General features: G+C 38.1%; 1 pseudogene; it reads left to right on the forward strand.

Moving 5' to 3' along the window:
• HSPE1P23 (heat shock protein family E (Hsp10) member 1 pseudogene 23) lies at positions 14,423-14,911 on the forward strand (annotated as a pseudogene).

Here is a 14,911-nt window from a genome sequence, read left to right on the forward strand (position 1 = left end):
CCTTGGTTGGTCCAGACTTGGAAGCAGGGACACAAAATAGAGAAGCTGGCAGTGACTGACCAGGTCCTGACTGTTCTGGACTCGTTGCTGCAGAGGTTATGGGTCAGTGTTCTGAGGTCATATATGATTTGGTCATTGTTCCTTCAAACATTCAGTGTCTCAAAGCTAAAGTATCTATTTTCTTGTATCATTCCCTGTCCTTTCATAAAAAGTGTGGTATTGTACCACAGATATCAAAATTCAAGCAGTGAAGATGTCTTGTTAGAATAGTTAAAAAGGGAGTAAGATGGGATTAAAAAAAAAAAACTTCATCTTTGAGAGGTTCATTTCTAGTTGTTCCAGTTAAAACTAGGTTGGTTGGCCTTTCAGGCTATAAGATATCATGTTCATGTAACATGATATTTATTAAATCAAGCTCTTGATAGTTAAATTTCTTGTTGTGCTTGCCAAAATTCAGAGTAGCCACAGCACAAAGAAATTTAAGAATATATAATAAAACTTTATTAACTGACTTATTAAATTCAGAATATGTGATAATTTGAATAAGAAAAATACTGAAGTTTTTTAATCCACAAAGAAATGTGTTTCTAAGTAATTCGTAATTTATACCCGTAAGTCAAAGTAAGTTCAAAAAAATTTTTTATTTCTTTTTAAATAAGCCATTAACTAGAATTTTCACTAATGCTGATCAGCTCCCAACCTCACTAGTCTAAATAAAAAGGACTTATAAATATGACATATTGTGCTTTAAGTAAAATAACATGCGAATGTGAAAAACCATGTGACTTTACTTTAATAATGGTGTAAGTAAAGAAGTAGTTTCTATTGAGGTAGCTGAATCTTACCGCATTTAGTGTAAATGTAAGTCTCACAATATGGTATGACATTTTCCCTATAAAACTCTACACTATTCAACAATACAGACATTTTGTTACTATAATTACTAACTGAAAACAGAGAAGTAAGGGTCGTAGTTAGATTTCCATAAAGAATAGTTCCCAGTATAATAAAATAAGAGATGAACTTGGTTACCTCAAAGATCCCTTTTAGACCCTGGGGTTTGATTGATAGTTCACCTTTGGGTAAAGTTTATTATGTGCCAAGCTCAGTGTTAATCACCTTAAAAGTGTGAACTCTTTTAATGTGATTCCAACAATAATAGTTATTTATTGAGTGCCTGCTATATGCTGAATCCATGTAAAATCATTGTCTATTTAATCCTCAAAATAATCTAGTAAACTGGGTATTATTATTTTATTTTATAAATAAGAAGTGGAATTCTGGAAAGATTAAATACTTTGACTACCAGTTCATTCTCTTTCTATTTCACCAGTCTGTTCTTGCTCCCTCCTCTGGCAAGTCCAGGGAAGTAAGGAAGGGGGCCTTGGGGTCTAGGATGATGGACAGAAGGCAGTGACCTGGGGCTGGGAGTCTTGTCTCCGTGTTCTGGGATGAGAGAAGCCCTCCCAAGCCACAAATGGGGAATCCAAAATCAAATCCAGAGCAATTACACCATGAGTTAGAGAGCCAAGAAGCTCAGGCGGAAGCTACGTTGCCAAATCCCAGCAAAAGAAACCTAAAGTAGCCAAGTTGAAAAGGTTATTTGACTTAAAAGCCCAGATTGTAAGGTCATGGAGTGCAGCAAAGGGGCCAGAGAAGACAGAAATAACTCCAGAACTGGCAGCTGCCCTGGTTCACCCCAGTTCCTGCAGTTCCAGATGAGGAGGAATTAAATCAGATTGCATATGTATGGAGCACATAACAGAGGGACAGTGGTACCAGGAGACCTTGATAAATGGTGGCTCTTGAAAATGGCAGCTGCAAGAAGCAGAACTGCTGAAGAAAAGAGCAAGGACTTAGGAACTATATTATTCTGTTCTCACATTACTGTAAAGAATGACCTGATACTGGGTAATTATAAAGAAAAGAGTTTTGATTGGCTCACAGTTCTGCAGGCTGTACAGGATGCATGGCTGGGGAGACCTCAGGAAATTTACAATCATGGGAGAAGGCGAAGGCCAAGCAGGCACGTCCTATATGGCTGGATCAGAAGGAAGAGGAGGAATGGGGAGGTTCTACACACATTTAAACAACCAGATCTCATGCAAACTCACTCACTATCACAAGAACAGCAAGGGGGAACTCCGCCCCATGATCCAATCACCTCCCACCAGGCCCCTCCTCCAACACTGGGGATTACAATTCAACACGAGATTTGGGTGGGGATGCAGAGCCAAACTATATCAGGAACTTTCTGGGCTGTTGCTCACCAGGTGAGGGACTTTGGGGAAAGCCATTTAACTTTTCAGAGTCTTAGTTTCTTCATCTATAAAATGGAAATAATAAAAACAAAAAAGCATTTTTTATGCAATCAAAAATAGTAACATTGACTGAAAGTAGCTAGAGCAGAAGATGTCATCCTGTTACTGAGCTTCAGCCTATTCCTGACCCAAGGTGCATCAAAACAGTGCTGTCTAAACAACCTGCTTTGTTGGAGAAATTCAATGCAATGGGATCTGGAACGTAATAGGAATGTAATCACTGGTAGCTGTTACAACTATTGCTTTTGTTTTTATACACAAAGCTAGAAGGAAACAGAAGAGACCTCTCTGGTAAGTAGTTCTCACTTAGGCTGGTAGGAGGTATTCAACTGGTTTCTCTTCATTACCAAAACCTAATCCAGATCTAATAAAATTTCATCTTGACTATCTTCTTAGAGACAAATCTTTCAGCTACTTTGTGCTTCTATAGGCTGCAAAACTAAATACTATAATACAGTATTCAGCATGGATGTTTGCCAAATGGACTTACTTCTACTTTGAGTTCTATGCCTGTTTTTTACATGAGGAAACCAATGCCCAAAAAGATAATGTGTCAGTGAAGAGAAAGGGAAGTCTCAAGAAGAAGTATTTTTTATTACTATATCTAATACAAAGTCATACAAGGCTCCTAGATACTGGGTGAAATAAGGACTTCTGTGGTTCATTGTTTACTATGTTTTTGTTCATCATGAGTTTCTATTGATGTACAATACAGTATTACAATATGTTTTTGGCCTATAGTAATTTTTTCTCAAAGAAATCTTTCCAGAAGAAGGAGGAAGAGAAAGGAGAGAAGGAAGGGGAGAAAAGGATGAGAAAGGGGAAGAAGAAAGTAAAATCAACATGACCAATTTGGCTTCTGATTTGGAGGTGCATTTATATGAAAAAATAATAGGACAAAATACTTAAAACAGATACTTCTGGGGAATCAGAGATGCAACATTGCCACACCAATAAAAGACAGCTGCTAAAAGTCTGTTCATAATTAGCTGGCTTGTTCCTAGCCTGACACAGCAACAGGATGGCTTACAGAAGAAAGATGCAGCTAATCAGTCCATATCAACTTCTCTCATTAGTTTCACATTTTGGATAGCACTGAAACCACCATCTGACTGGAAAGAGCCATTATGCCAAACAACTTAGAAACTGTTGGTGCTTTAATTTGCTTGTTTACTAAAGAATACTGTAAATGATTTTTAGCCACTATATTCTTTTGGTTGCTGACTCATACATTTTTCCTTAGTTGGAGGGCTTTTACACATGCTGCTCACTCTGCTTAGAATTCTCTGGCTCCCACCCCCTCAATTCTCAGCTCGCTCCTGTCTGGCTCTTTCCTACTCAAACGCCTAATTCACAGAAAGGCCTTTCTGACTCCCTGGGTTGAATGAGGTTCCTGTAATTCTCTTTTTACTCATCATATTTACAAAGGATGTTTTGGGGTATCTGTCTTCTCATGCCCCTTCCTCCCATTCATTCCAATTAATCCATCCCCTACTCTATAAACAAAAGGGGATCCTGCTCAACTTTCATTGCTGATGCCTAGCATAGTGCCTGGAACATAAAAAAAAACCTCAAAAGAAATATTTGTTGAATGAATAGATGGATAGACAAATAGATGGACATAGAGACAGATTGAAAGATCACACACATATCTTGCTATATTATCATGCTATATTAATCAGAGTAACACTAGGTTTGATAGCAAACCCCAAAATTTCAGTGGCTTAATGCAACAGATGTTGGTTGCTTGGTCATATGATAATTTACTACAGGTTTTCTTAGTTGGGGAGAGACACTGTCTTCTCCATGGAAAAGAGAGCCCAGACTCCTCCTATCTTGGGGAGAGAGGGAGAGTACAAAGTAGAGAAGTCTCTTCTGCTTCTTACAAGTCTCAGCCTGGAAGGGGCACAGATAGACAACTTCTGGTCACATTCCCTTCAAAAGCACTAATTATTATCTGGAGGCAAAAAGGAGGTGCTGAAAACTGGAGTCTTTTTCTGGACACCCTCCTTCCAGTGACAATACCATATGTGAAAAGGAGAGTTCAAATTTTTACTAGACACCTTACATAAAACTGGCCACAAATATATATAATGAGCCAATCCAGACAACTCAAGCTAAAGTACACTCCAGTCCCCTGATCTGTACATCACTTGTTAATTATGCAGACTTCTACTTCATTTTGCCTATGAAATTATGGCCCTAATAAGACCTTTCTTGCACTGATTTGAATTATCAAAAGTAAAGTCCACAAACTCCTTCTTAAATTTCTTGAAGTTTTTATAGCTTTCTTACATTATTATATAGCTTTATTAAATAGTATGTCAAAATTTTACATATAACAAAATGATCTGAGTATTTTTAATGTTGCCTTGACTGCCAAAATTCTCTTCTAATCACCAAGCCTACTCTTATTTAATTATAAGTATTGTAATCTAAGGTAGCATGACTGCATACTCAGAAATAGCTTTGAAATAGTATTTTTAAATATAAATAATTTAAAATAGAACAGTGCTGGGCTTTAAACTATAGCTCAGTGGGGTTTTTTTTAATTAGCATCAAAAGGAAGAAATAATACAAGGATCTTTAATTGATTTTAAGGAATTCTTGCTACATCTAAAGACAAGGATTACTAGTTAATCTCTTTGGATGTTTTATAAGCACAGAATATTACCTAAATAATTGCAAGCATATACTCAAATGACAGATGGAATAAACGGAAAAAAATTTTGCATGTAACAGTCAAAACAAATTCACTGAAGACCATAATCTTTACTTGGAAGTACTATAGGGAAATGGCAGTAGAATTATATTTCCACAAGATAATATTCTTGTGAGGGCACACTGATTTAATAAGTTGAACTTGTAGTGGGGATGCTGATTCTGCGATGGTGACTACTATGTTGACTATTTCTGCTCTCCTGAATAATCAATGTGTTCTGCTCCCATCTAATGGCTGTTGATGCAATGAAGAAACATCTATTCGTTTCACCACCAGTGACCTCTTGCACCCTGATTGCTTCAGGGGGCAGATTTATTGTGCTCATCAGCACAGGTGGGTTGACCCGATAATTTATGTGGCCTTATTTTCCTTCCAGACAAGTGACTTGTTACTAATTTAAGGATTAAGTGATGTGGGAGTCAATTTTAGTAGAAAAGTTACACTGCTGTTAAGTTTGCTTTCTACCATAAGATCTGTCTAGGATGAAAAAACATCAAAATTGGTTACATATTGAGATTGGGTTTACAACACTACTGGCATCCAGTGATTACCCAGAAGGGTATATCTTCATTAGCTTGAAGGCAACAGAGATATGCAAACAATTTCTATCCCAGGAAGGCTCTTTAGCCTCATCCATTTCTTATTCGTCTAGTATTGGCATCTGTTTTCCTTTGGGGAGCTTCTTGGGCAAGGGGTGGCACTTAACACAAGTTAGGCTAATCAGACTCATTTGCTCAAGATTTTTAATCTTTTATGGATAATTTAGCAACTAAAATGGATGAAGATAATTCTTGAATATTCTGACAGGACTCATTAAAAAAAACAGTCCTTTCATTCCTGCTCTCCTTTTTCTGGAGGGTTGCTAGTTCCTGAGGCTTGATGTTTCACTTTTCTTTCCATTTTGAGCTATCTGTCAAATGAACACATTTTTTTGCTTAAATTAACTGGAATCAGTTTCTGTGGCTTGAAACTCAGGAATCTGGTGATAGAAAGACTTTAACATTTGTGATTAAATAGTCATTCAAAGACAAGATTTTCAGGATTCAACTGGATGGCATTTTTTACAGTTGAACAATTTTACCGCATAGACAAATATGAAAGAAGGCCTCTCAAGTGTAAAGGATTTACAGCCATTTTAACTGGCAAAGAAGAGCCAAATTCAGGAGCCCTCTTCAGTGGGTATAGAGACATCCATGAGCAAAGCAGGGAAGTGAACTGCATGGACTAGGAGACTAAGTCTTTACATTATGAAATCCTTCAGATAATTGGAGTTTCATCAGTATTGCAGACAAGAATCCAGTCATTACCTCAGCTAATATGTTTTAGTTATTACATATTTGAGGAAATATCACCAAAATGTCTTGAGATTTGGTAAATATTTTTGTGGTGGGTAAACATATTTTAAAACCAGGAAGATTTAAAATTGAGTATAAAAATACTTCAGAGAACCAAAACTATAAAAAAATCCATAATAAAAATATTTTTATGATTTGGTAATCTCTTCATATTTTGTGATTTATGTACTTCTAGCACTTCAGAAAATGTGACCTATTAGTAAAATAATTCTTATAATTCTATTTTAAAACACAGAGATTTGTAATTTACATTGGTGATTTTAAATAGAAAGATTTTAGTTTATATATTATATATTAAAAAAAAACAAAAATTTCTCTGAGTTCTTGAAAAACTCAAATTTAATTTATTATAGTTAAAGGAATTATTCAAGAATTCAGGGAGGTTTTTTGTTTTCAGTAAGCCTGAAAACAGAAATACCTAAAAGAAAAAGAAAAATATTAAGCTTATAATATTACAGTTTTTTAAATATATATTTTAAGTTCTGGGATACATGTGCAGAACGTGCAGGTTTGTTACATAGATATACACGTGCCATGGTGGTTTGCTGTACATATCAACCCGTCATCTACATTAGGTATTTCTCCTAACGCCATCCCTCCTCTAGTGCCCCAACTGCTGACAGGCCCCAGTATGTGATGTTCCCCTCCCTGTGTCCATGTGTTCTCATTGTTCAACTCCCACTTATGAGTGAGAACATGCAGTGTTTGGTTTTCTGTTCGTGTGTTAGTTTGCTGAGAATGATGGTTTCCAGCTTCATCCATGTACCTGCAAAGGGCATGAACTCATCTTTTTTATGGCTGCATAATATTCCATGGTGTAAATGTGCCACATTTTCTTTATCCAGTCTATCATTGATGGGCATTTGGGTTGATTACAAATCTTTGCTATTGTGAACAGTGCTGCAATAAACATACGTGTGCATGTGTCTTTATAGTAGAATGATTTATAATCCCTTGGGTACATACCCAGTAATGGGATTTCTGGGTCAAATGGTATTTCTGGTTCTAGATCCTTGAGGAATCACCACACTATCTTCTACAATGGTTGAACTAATTTACACTCCCAACAGTGTAAAAGCGTTCCTATTTCTTCACGTCCTCTCCAGCATCTGTTGTCTGCTGACTTTTTAATGATTGCCATTTTAACTGGTGTGAGATGGTATCATACTGTGGTTTTGATTTCCATTTCTCTAATGATCAGTGATGATGAGCTTTTTTTTATATGTTCGTTGGCCACATAAATGTCTTCTTTCAAGAAATGTCTGTTCATATCCTTCACCCACTTTTTGATTGAGTTGTTTGTATTTTCTTGTAAATTTGTTTAAATTCTTTGTAGATTCTGGATATTAGCCCTTTGTCAGATGAATATATTGCAAAAATTTTCTCCCATTCTGTAAGTTGCGGGTTCACACTGATGATAGTTTCTTTCGCTGTGGAAAAGCTCTTTAGTTTAATTAGATCCCATTTGTCAATTTTGGCTTTTGTTGCCATTGCTTTTGGTGTTTTAGTCATGAGGTCTTTGCCCATGCCTATGTCCTGAATGGTATTGCCTAGGTTTTCTTCTAGAGTTTTTATGGTTTTAGGTCTTATGTTTAAGTCTTTAATCCATCTTGAGTGAATTTTTGTATAAGGTGTAAGGAAGGGATCCAGTTTCAGTTTTCTGCATATGGCTAGCCAGTTTTCCTAACAACATTTATTAAATAGGGAATCCTTTCCCCATTGTTTTTTTTGTCAGGTTTGTCAAAGATCAGTTGGCTGCAGATGTGTGGCATTATTTCTGAGGCCTCTGTTCTGTTCCATTGGTCTATATATCTGTTTTGGTACCAGTGTCTTGCTGTTTTGGTTACTGTAGCCTTGTATTATAGTTTGAAGTGAGGTAGCTTGATGTCTCCAGCTTTGTTCTTTTTGCTTAGGATTGTCTTGGCTATATGGGCTTTTTGGTTTCGTATGAAATTTAAAGTAGTTTTTTTCTAATTCTTTGAAGAAAGTCAATGGTAGATTGATGGGGATAGCATTAATGTATAAATTACTTTGGGCACTATGGCAATCTTCACGATATTGATTCTTCCTATCCATGAGCATTCTTCACAATATCGATTCTTCCTATCCATGAGCATGGAAGTTTTTTCCATTTTTTGTGTCCTCTCTTATTTCGTTGAACAGTGGTTTGTAGTTCTCCTTGAAGAGGTCCTTCACATCCCTTGTAAGTTGGATTCCTAGGTATTTTATTCTCTTTGTAGCAATTGTGAAGGGGAGTTGACTCATGATTTGGCTCTCTGTTTATTATCGGTGTATAGGAATGTTCGTGGGTTTTGCACATTGATTTTGTATCCTGAGATTTTGCTGAAGTTGCTTATCAGCTTAAGGATATTTTGGGCTGAGATGATGGGGTTTTCTAAATATAAAATCATGTCATCTGCAAACAGAGACAATTTGACTTCCTCTCTTTCTATTTGAATACCCTTTATTTCTTATTCTTGCCTGATTGCCCTGGCCAGAACCTCCAGTACTATGTTGAATAGGAGTGGTGAGAGAGGGCATCCTTGTCTTGTGCCAGTTTTGAAAGGGAATGCTTCCAGTTTTTGCCCATTCAGTATGATATTGGCTGTGGGTTTGTCATAAATATCTCTTACTATTTTGAGATATGTTCCATCAATACCTAGTTTATTGAGAGTTTTTAGCATGAAGGGGTGTTGAATGTTGTCGATGGCCTTTTCTGCATCTATTGAGAGAATCGTGGTTTTTGTCATTGGTTTTATGTGATGGATTACATTTATTGATTTGTGTATGTAGAATGAGATTTGCATCCCAGGTATGAAGCCGACTTGGACGTGGTGGATAAGCTTTTTGATGTGCTGCTGGATTTGGTTTGCCAGTATTTTATTGAAGATTTTTGCATCAAAGTTCATCAGGGATATTGGCCTGAAATTTTCTTTCTTTGTGGTGGCTCTGCCAGGTTTTGGTAACAGGATGATGCTGATCTCATAAAATGAGTTACAGAGGAGTCCTTCTTTCTCTGTTGTTTGGAATAGTTTTGGAAGGAATGGTACCAGCTCCTCTTTGTATATCTGGTAGAATTCAGCTGTGAATCCATCTGGTCGTGGACTTTTTTTGGTTGGTAGGCTATTAATTACTGACTCAATTCCAGAACTTGTTATTGGTCTCTTCAGGGATTCGACTTCTTCCCTGATTTAGTTGTGGGAAGGTGTATGTGTTGAGGAATTTATCCATTTCTTCTAGATTTTCCAGTTTATTTGCATAGAGCTGTTTACAGTACTCTGTGATGGTAGTTTGTATTTCCGTGGGATCATTGGCGATATCCCCTTTATCATTTTTTATTGTATCTATTTGATTCTTCTCTCTTTTCTTCTTTATTAGTCTAGCTGGAGTTCTATCTATTTTGATAATCTTTCTGGATTCAATGATTTTTTGAAGGGTTTTCTGTGTCTCTATCTCCTTCAATTCTGCTCTGATCTTAGTTATTTCTTGTATTCTAGATTTTGAATTTGTTTGCTCTTGCTTCTCTAGTTCTTTTAATTGTGATGTTAGGGTGTCAAATTTAGATCTTTCCCACTTTCTCCTGTGGATATTTAGTGCTATAAATTTCCCTCTAAACACTGCTTTAGCTGTGTCCCAGAGATTCTAGTACATTGTATCTTTTTTCTCATTGGTTTCAAAGAACTTATTTATTTCTGCATTCATTTTATTATTTACCTAGTAGTCTTTCAGGAGCAGGTTGTTCAGTTGCCATGTAGTTTTGTGGTTTTGAGTGAGTTTCTTAATCCTGAGTTCTAATTTGATTGCACTGTGGCCTGAGAGACTGTTTGTTATGATTTCCGTTCTTTTACATTTTCTGAGGAGTGTTTTACCTCCAGTTATGTGGGCAATTGTAGAATAAGTGTGATGTGTTGCTGAGAAGAATGTATATTCTGTTGATTTGGGGTGGAGAGTTCTGCAGATGTCTATTAGGTCTGCTTGGTCCAGAGCTAAGTTCAAGTCCTGAATATCCTTGTTAATTTTCTGTCTCATAGATCTGTCTGATATTGACAGTGGGATGTTAACGTCTCCCACTATTATTGTGTGGGAGTCTAAGTCTCTTTGTAGGTCTCTAAGAACTTGCTTTATAAATCTGAGTGCTCCTGTATTGGGTGCATATATATTTAGGATAGTTAGCTCTTCTTGTTCCATTGGTCCCTTTACCATTATGTAATGCCCTTCTTTGTCTCTTTTGATCTTTGTTGGTTTAAAGTCACTTTTATCAGAGGCTATGATTGTAACCTCTGCTTTTTATTGCTTTCCATTTGCTTGTTAAATATTCCCCCATCCCTTTATTTTGAGCTTATGTATGTCTTTGCATGTGAGATGGGTCTCCCAAATACAGCACATTGATGGGTCTTGACTGTTTATCCAATTTGCCAGTCTGTGTCTTTTAATTGGGGCATTTAACCCATTTATATATAAGGTTAATATTGTTATGTGTTAATTTGATCCTGTCATTATGATGCTAGCTGGTTATTTTGCCCGTTAGTTGATGCAGTTTCTTCATAGTGCCTATGGTCTTTACAATTTGATATGTTTTTGCAGTGGCTGGTACCGGTTTTTCCTTTCCATATTTAGTGTTTCCTTCAGGACCTCTTGTAAGGCAGGCCTGGTGGTAATAAAATCCCTCAGCATTTGCTTGTCTGAAAAGGATTTAATTTCCCCTTCACTTATGAAGCTTAGTTTGGCTGGATATGAAATTCTGGGTTGAATATTCTTTTTTTTTTTAAGAATATTGAATATTGGCCCCTACTCTCTTCTGGCTTGTAGGGTTTCTTCAGGGAGATCCACTGTTAGTCTGATGGGCTTCCTTTGTGGGTAACTCAACCTTTCTCTCTGGCTGCCCTTAACATTTTTTCCTTCATTTCAACCTTGGCAAAATTGAGGATTATGTGTCTTGGGGTTGTTCTTCTCGAGGAGTATCTTTGTGGTGTTCTCGTATTTCCTAAATTTGAATGTCTTGCTAGGTTGTGGAAGTTCTCCTGTATAACACCCTGAAGAGTGTTTTCCAACTTGCTTCCATTCTCCCTGTCACTCTCAGGTACACCAATCAAACGTAGGTTTGGTCTTTTCATATAGTCCCATATTTCTTGGAGGCTTTGTTTGTTCCTTTTCATTCTTTTTTCTCTAATCTTGTCTTCATGCTTTACTTAAGTTGATCCGCTTGATCGATTCAGCTATTGATTCTTGTGTATGCTTCACAAAGTTCTTGTGCTGTGTTTTTCAGCTCCATCAGGTCATTTATGTTCTTCTCTAAACTGGTTATTTTAGTTAACAATTCCTCTAACTTTTTTTCAAGGTTCTTAGCTTTCTTGCATTGTGTTAGAACATGCTCCTTTAGCTCAGAGGAGCTTGTTATTACTCACCCTCTGAAGCCTACTTCTGCCAATTCATCAAACTCATTCTCTATCCAGTTTTGTTCCTTTGCTGGTAAGGAGTTGTATCCTTTGGAGGAGAAGAGGCATTTTCGTTTTGGGAATTTTCAGCCATTTTGCTCTGTTTTTTCCTCATCTTCGTGGGTTTATCTACCTTTGGTCTTTGATGTTGGTGACCTTCGGATGTGGTCTTTGTGTAGATGTCCTTTTTGTTCATGTTGATGCTATTCCTGTCTCTTTGTTAGTTTTCCTTCTAACAGTCAGGCCTCTCTGCTGCAGGTCTGCTGGAGTTTGCTGGATGTCCACTCCACACCCCATTTGCCTGGGTATCACCAGTGGAGGCTGCAGAACAGCAAAGATTGCTGTCTGTTCCTTCCTCTGGAAGCATCTTCCCAAATAGGCACCTGCCATATGCCAGCCATGGTTCTGTCTTGCTGGTGTTCCAGGCTCCTGTGTGAGGTGTCTGTTGACCTCTGCTGGGAGGTGTCTCCCAGTCAGGAAACATGGGGGTCAGGGATCCACTTGAGAAGGCAGACTGTCTCTTAGCAAAACTCAAGCACTGTGCTAGGGAGATCCACTGCTCTCTTCAGAGCTGGCAGGCAGGAATAGTTAAGTCTGCTGAAACTGTGCCCATAGGCACCCCTTCCCTCAGGTGCTCTGTCCCAGGGAGATGGGAGTTTTATCTATAAGCCTCTGACTGGGGCTGCTGCCTTTCTTTCAGAGATGCCCTGTCCAGAGAGGAGGAATCTAGAGAGGCAGCCTGGCTACTGCAGATTTGCCTAGCTGCAGTAGGCTCCACCAAGTTCACTCTTTCCAGCAGCTTTGTTTACATTGTGAGGGGAAAACCACCTACTCAAGCCCCAGTAATGGTGGACCCTCCTGCCCCCACCAAGCTTGAGCACCACAGGTCGACTTCAGAATGCTGTGCTGGCAGTGAGAATTTCAAGCCAGTGGATTTTAGCTTGCTGGGCTCCATGAAGGTGGGATCTGCTGAGCTAGACCACTTGGCTTCCTGGCTTCAGCCCTTTCCAGTGGAGTGAACGGTTCTGTCTCGCTGGTGTTCCAAGCGCCACTGGGGTATGGAAAAAAAAGCTCCTGCAGCTAGCTCAGTGTCTGCCCAAACAGCTGCCAGTTTTGTGCTTGAAACCCAGGGTCCTGGTCATGTTGGCACCCGAGGGAATCTCCTGGTCTGCAGGTTGCAAAGACAGTGGGAAAAGTATAGTATCTGGGCCAGAATGCACTGTTCCTCATGCCACAGTCCCTCATGGCTTCCCTTGGCTAGGGGAGGGAGTTCCCCAACCCCTTGCACTTCCTAGGTGAGGTGACACCACACCCTGCTTCAATTCACCCTCCATGGGCTGCACCCACTGTCTAACCAATCCCAATGAGATGAGCCAGGTACCTCAGTTGGAAATGCAGAAAACACCCACTTTCTGCATTGATCTCGCTGGGAGCTGCAGACTGGAGCTGTTCCTATTCAGCCATCTTCTCTTTTCCAATATTACAGTTTTAAATGTCCTAATATGTTTAACTTGCTCTGTATATGGGTCTAAATATTATCCAAAAACTTTAAAAATTACTGAAATTTGACTGACAAGTAGAATAAAATTTGTAAATTAACTGTAAAAATGTCAGCATTTATAACTCTAATAGATTTTTTTTTGCTCAAAAACAACCAAGAAAAAGGTCATATTGACAGAATTTAGAGTCTCTAAACCTGTTGTGTTAGCCCTGTTAACAGTAAGTGTTTTCCTACAATGAAAATGTATTATTCGATCTGCTGGTTTGGTTTTGTTTTTCTCAGCCTCAAAGTTAAACTTTTCCTGTGCTTTTCAAATACATAATTTGTTCTGAAGACACACACATAAAGTTATTAGAGCTTAAATTTGTTTTTCTGAAGCAACTGGTCTACTACTTTTTTTTTTTTTTTTTTTGACATGGGGTCTCACTCTGTCACCCAGGCTGGAGTGCAGTGGCACAATCTCGGCTCACTGCAACCTCCACCTCCCGGGTTCAAGCGATTCCCCTGCCTCAGCCTCCCAAGTAGCTGGGACTAGAGGTGTGTGCCACCACGCCTGGCTAATTTTTGTATTTTTAGTAGAGACAGGGTTTCACCATGTTGGCCAGGCTAGTCTCAAACTCCTGACCTCAGGTGATCCACCTGCCTCAGCCTCCCAATGTGATGGGATTACAGGTGTGAGCCACCATGCCTGGCTTACTACTTCTTTATGTATTACCTAAACTCACAAAGGCAAGGAGAAGAAATTACATTAAATTAAAGAGTGTACTGAAAAGAGTACTGAACTAGTCATTGTTTGAGCTAAGTATGAATTTTAATCTGAACATAGTTAACTATAATTTTGGACATATCACTTAACCACTCTGTGAAATGAGAAATTAAACAATAAAATCTTCACAATTTTTGCCCACCCTAATATAAAATTCTATTGTTCTAAATGGAATTTAGACAGAAGATATTCATATCTTAAACTATGATTAATCTGTCAAAAACAGTTTTTAGAGAAAAAAAATCATGATTCAAAAATTGAATTCACTTCAGAGGGCAGGGCTGGCTGGCCTTTTTACCTGTCCCAAGAACCTGACTTCAGATCTTTTCTTGCAGCTGCAGTAGGAATGTAGAGTACGAGCTTTGATGCAGGAGTCTTGGCAGAACAAACATTTGAAAGTTTATTTCTCTCTTTGACCGAGTATTTGTTGAAAGAACTGCAGCTGAAACTGTAGCCAAAGGAGGCATGATGCTTCCAGAACAAATGTCAAAGAAAAGTATTACATGCATCAGTAGTAGCTGTTAGATTGGTCTCTAAAAGAAAGGGTGGAGAGATTCAACCAGTTAGCATCCAAGTTGGAGATAAAGTTATTTTCCCAGAATATGGAAGCACCAAAGTGCTTTAGACAAGGATTATTTCTTATTTAGAGATGGTTTAGAGATGGTGACTTTCTTGGAAAGTATGCAGACTGAAATAAATCACCATTGAAATGGCATAATAGTGAAGCTGCCCATTCCACTAAAGTTCTGAAATCTTTCATTATGTACATAAGTTCTACGTCTCTCTTTTGTAATAAACTAATAATAGCTAA

Source organism: Homo sapiens, chromosome 4, assembly GCF_000001405.40.
Source record: "Homo sapiens chromosome 4, GRCh38.p14 Primary Assembly".
NCBI classification, from domain to species: domain Eukaryota; kingdom Metazoa; phylum Chordata; class Mammalia; order Primates; family Hominidae; genus Homo; species Homo sapiens.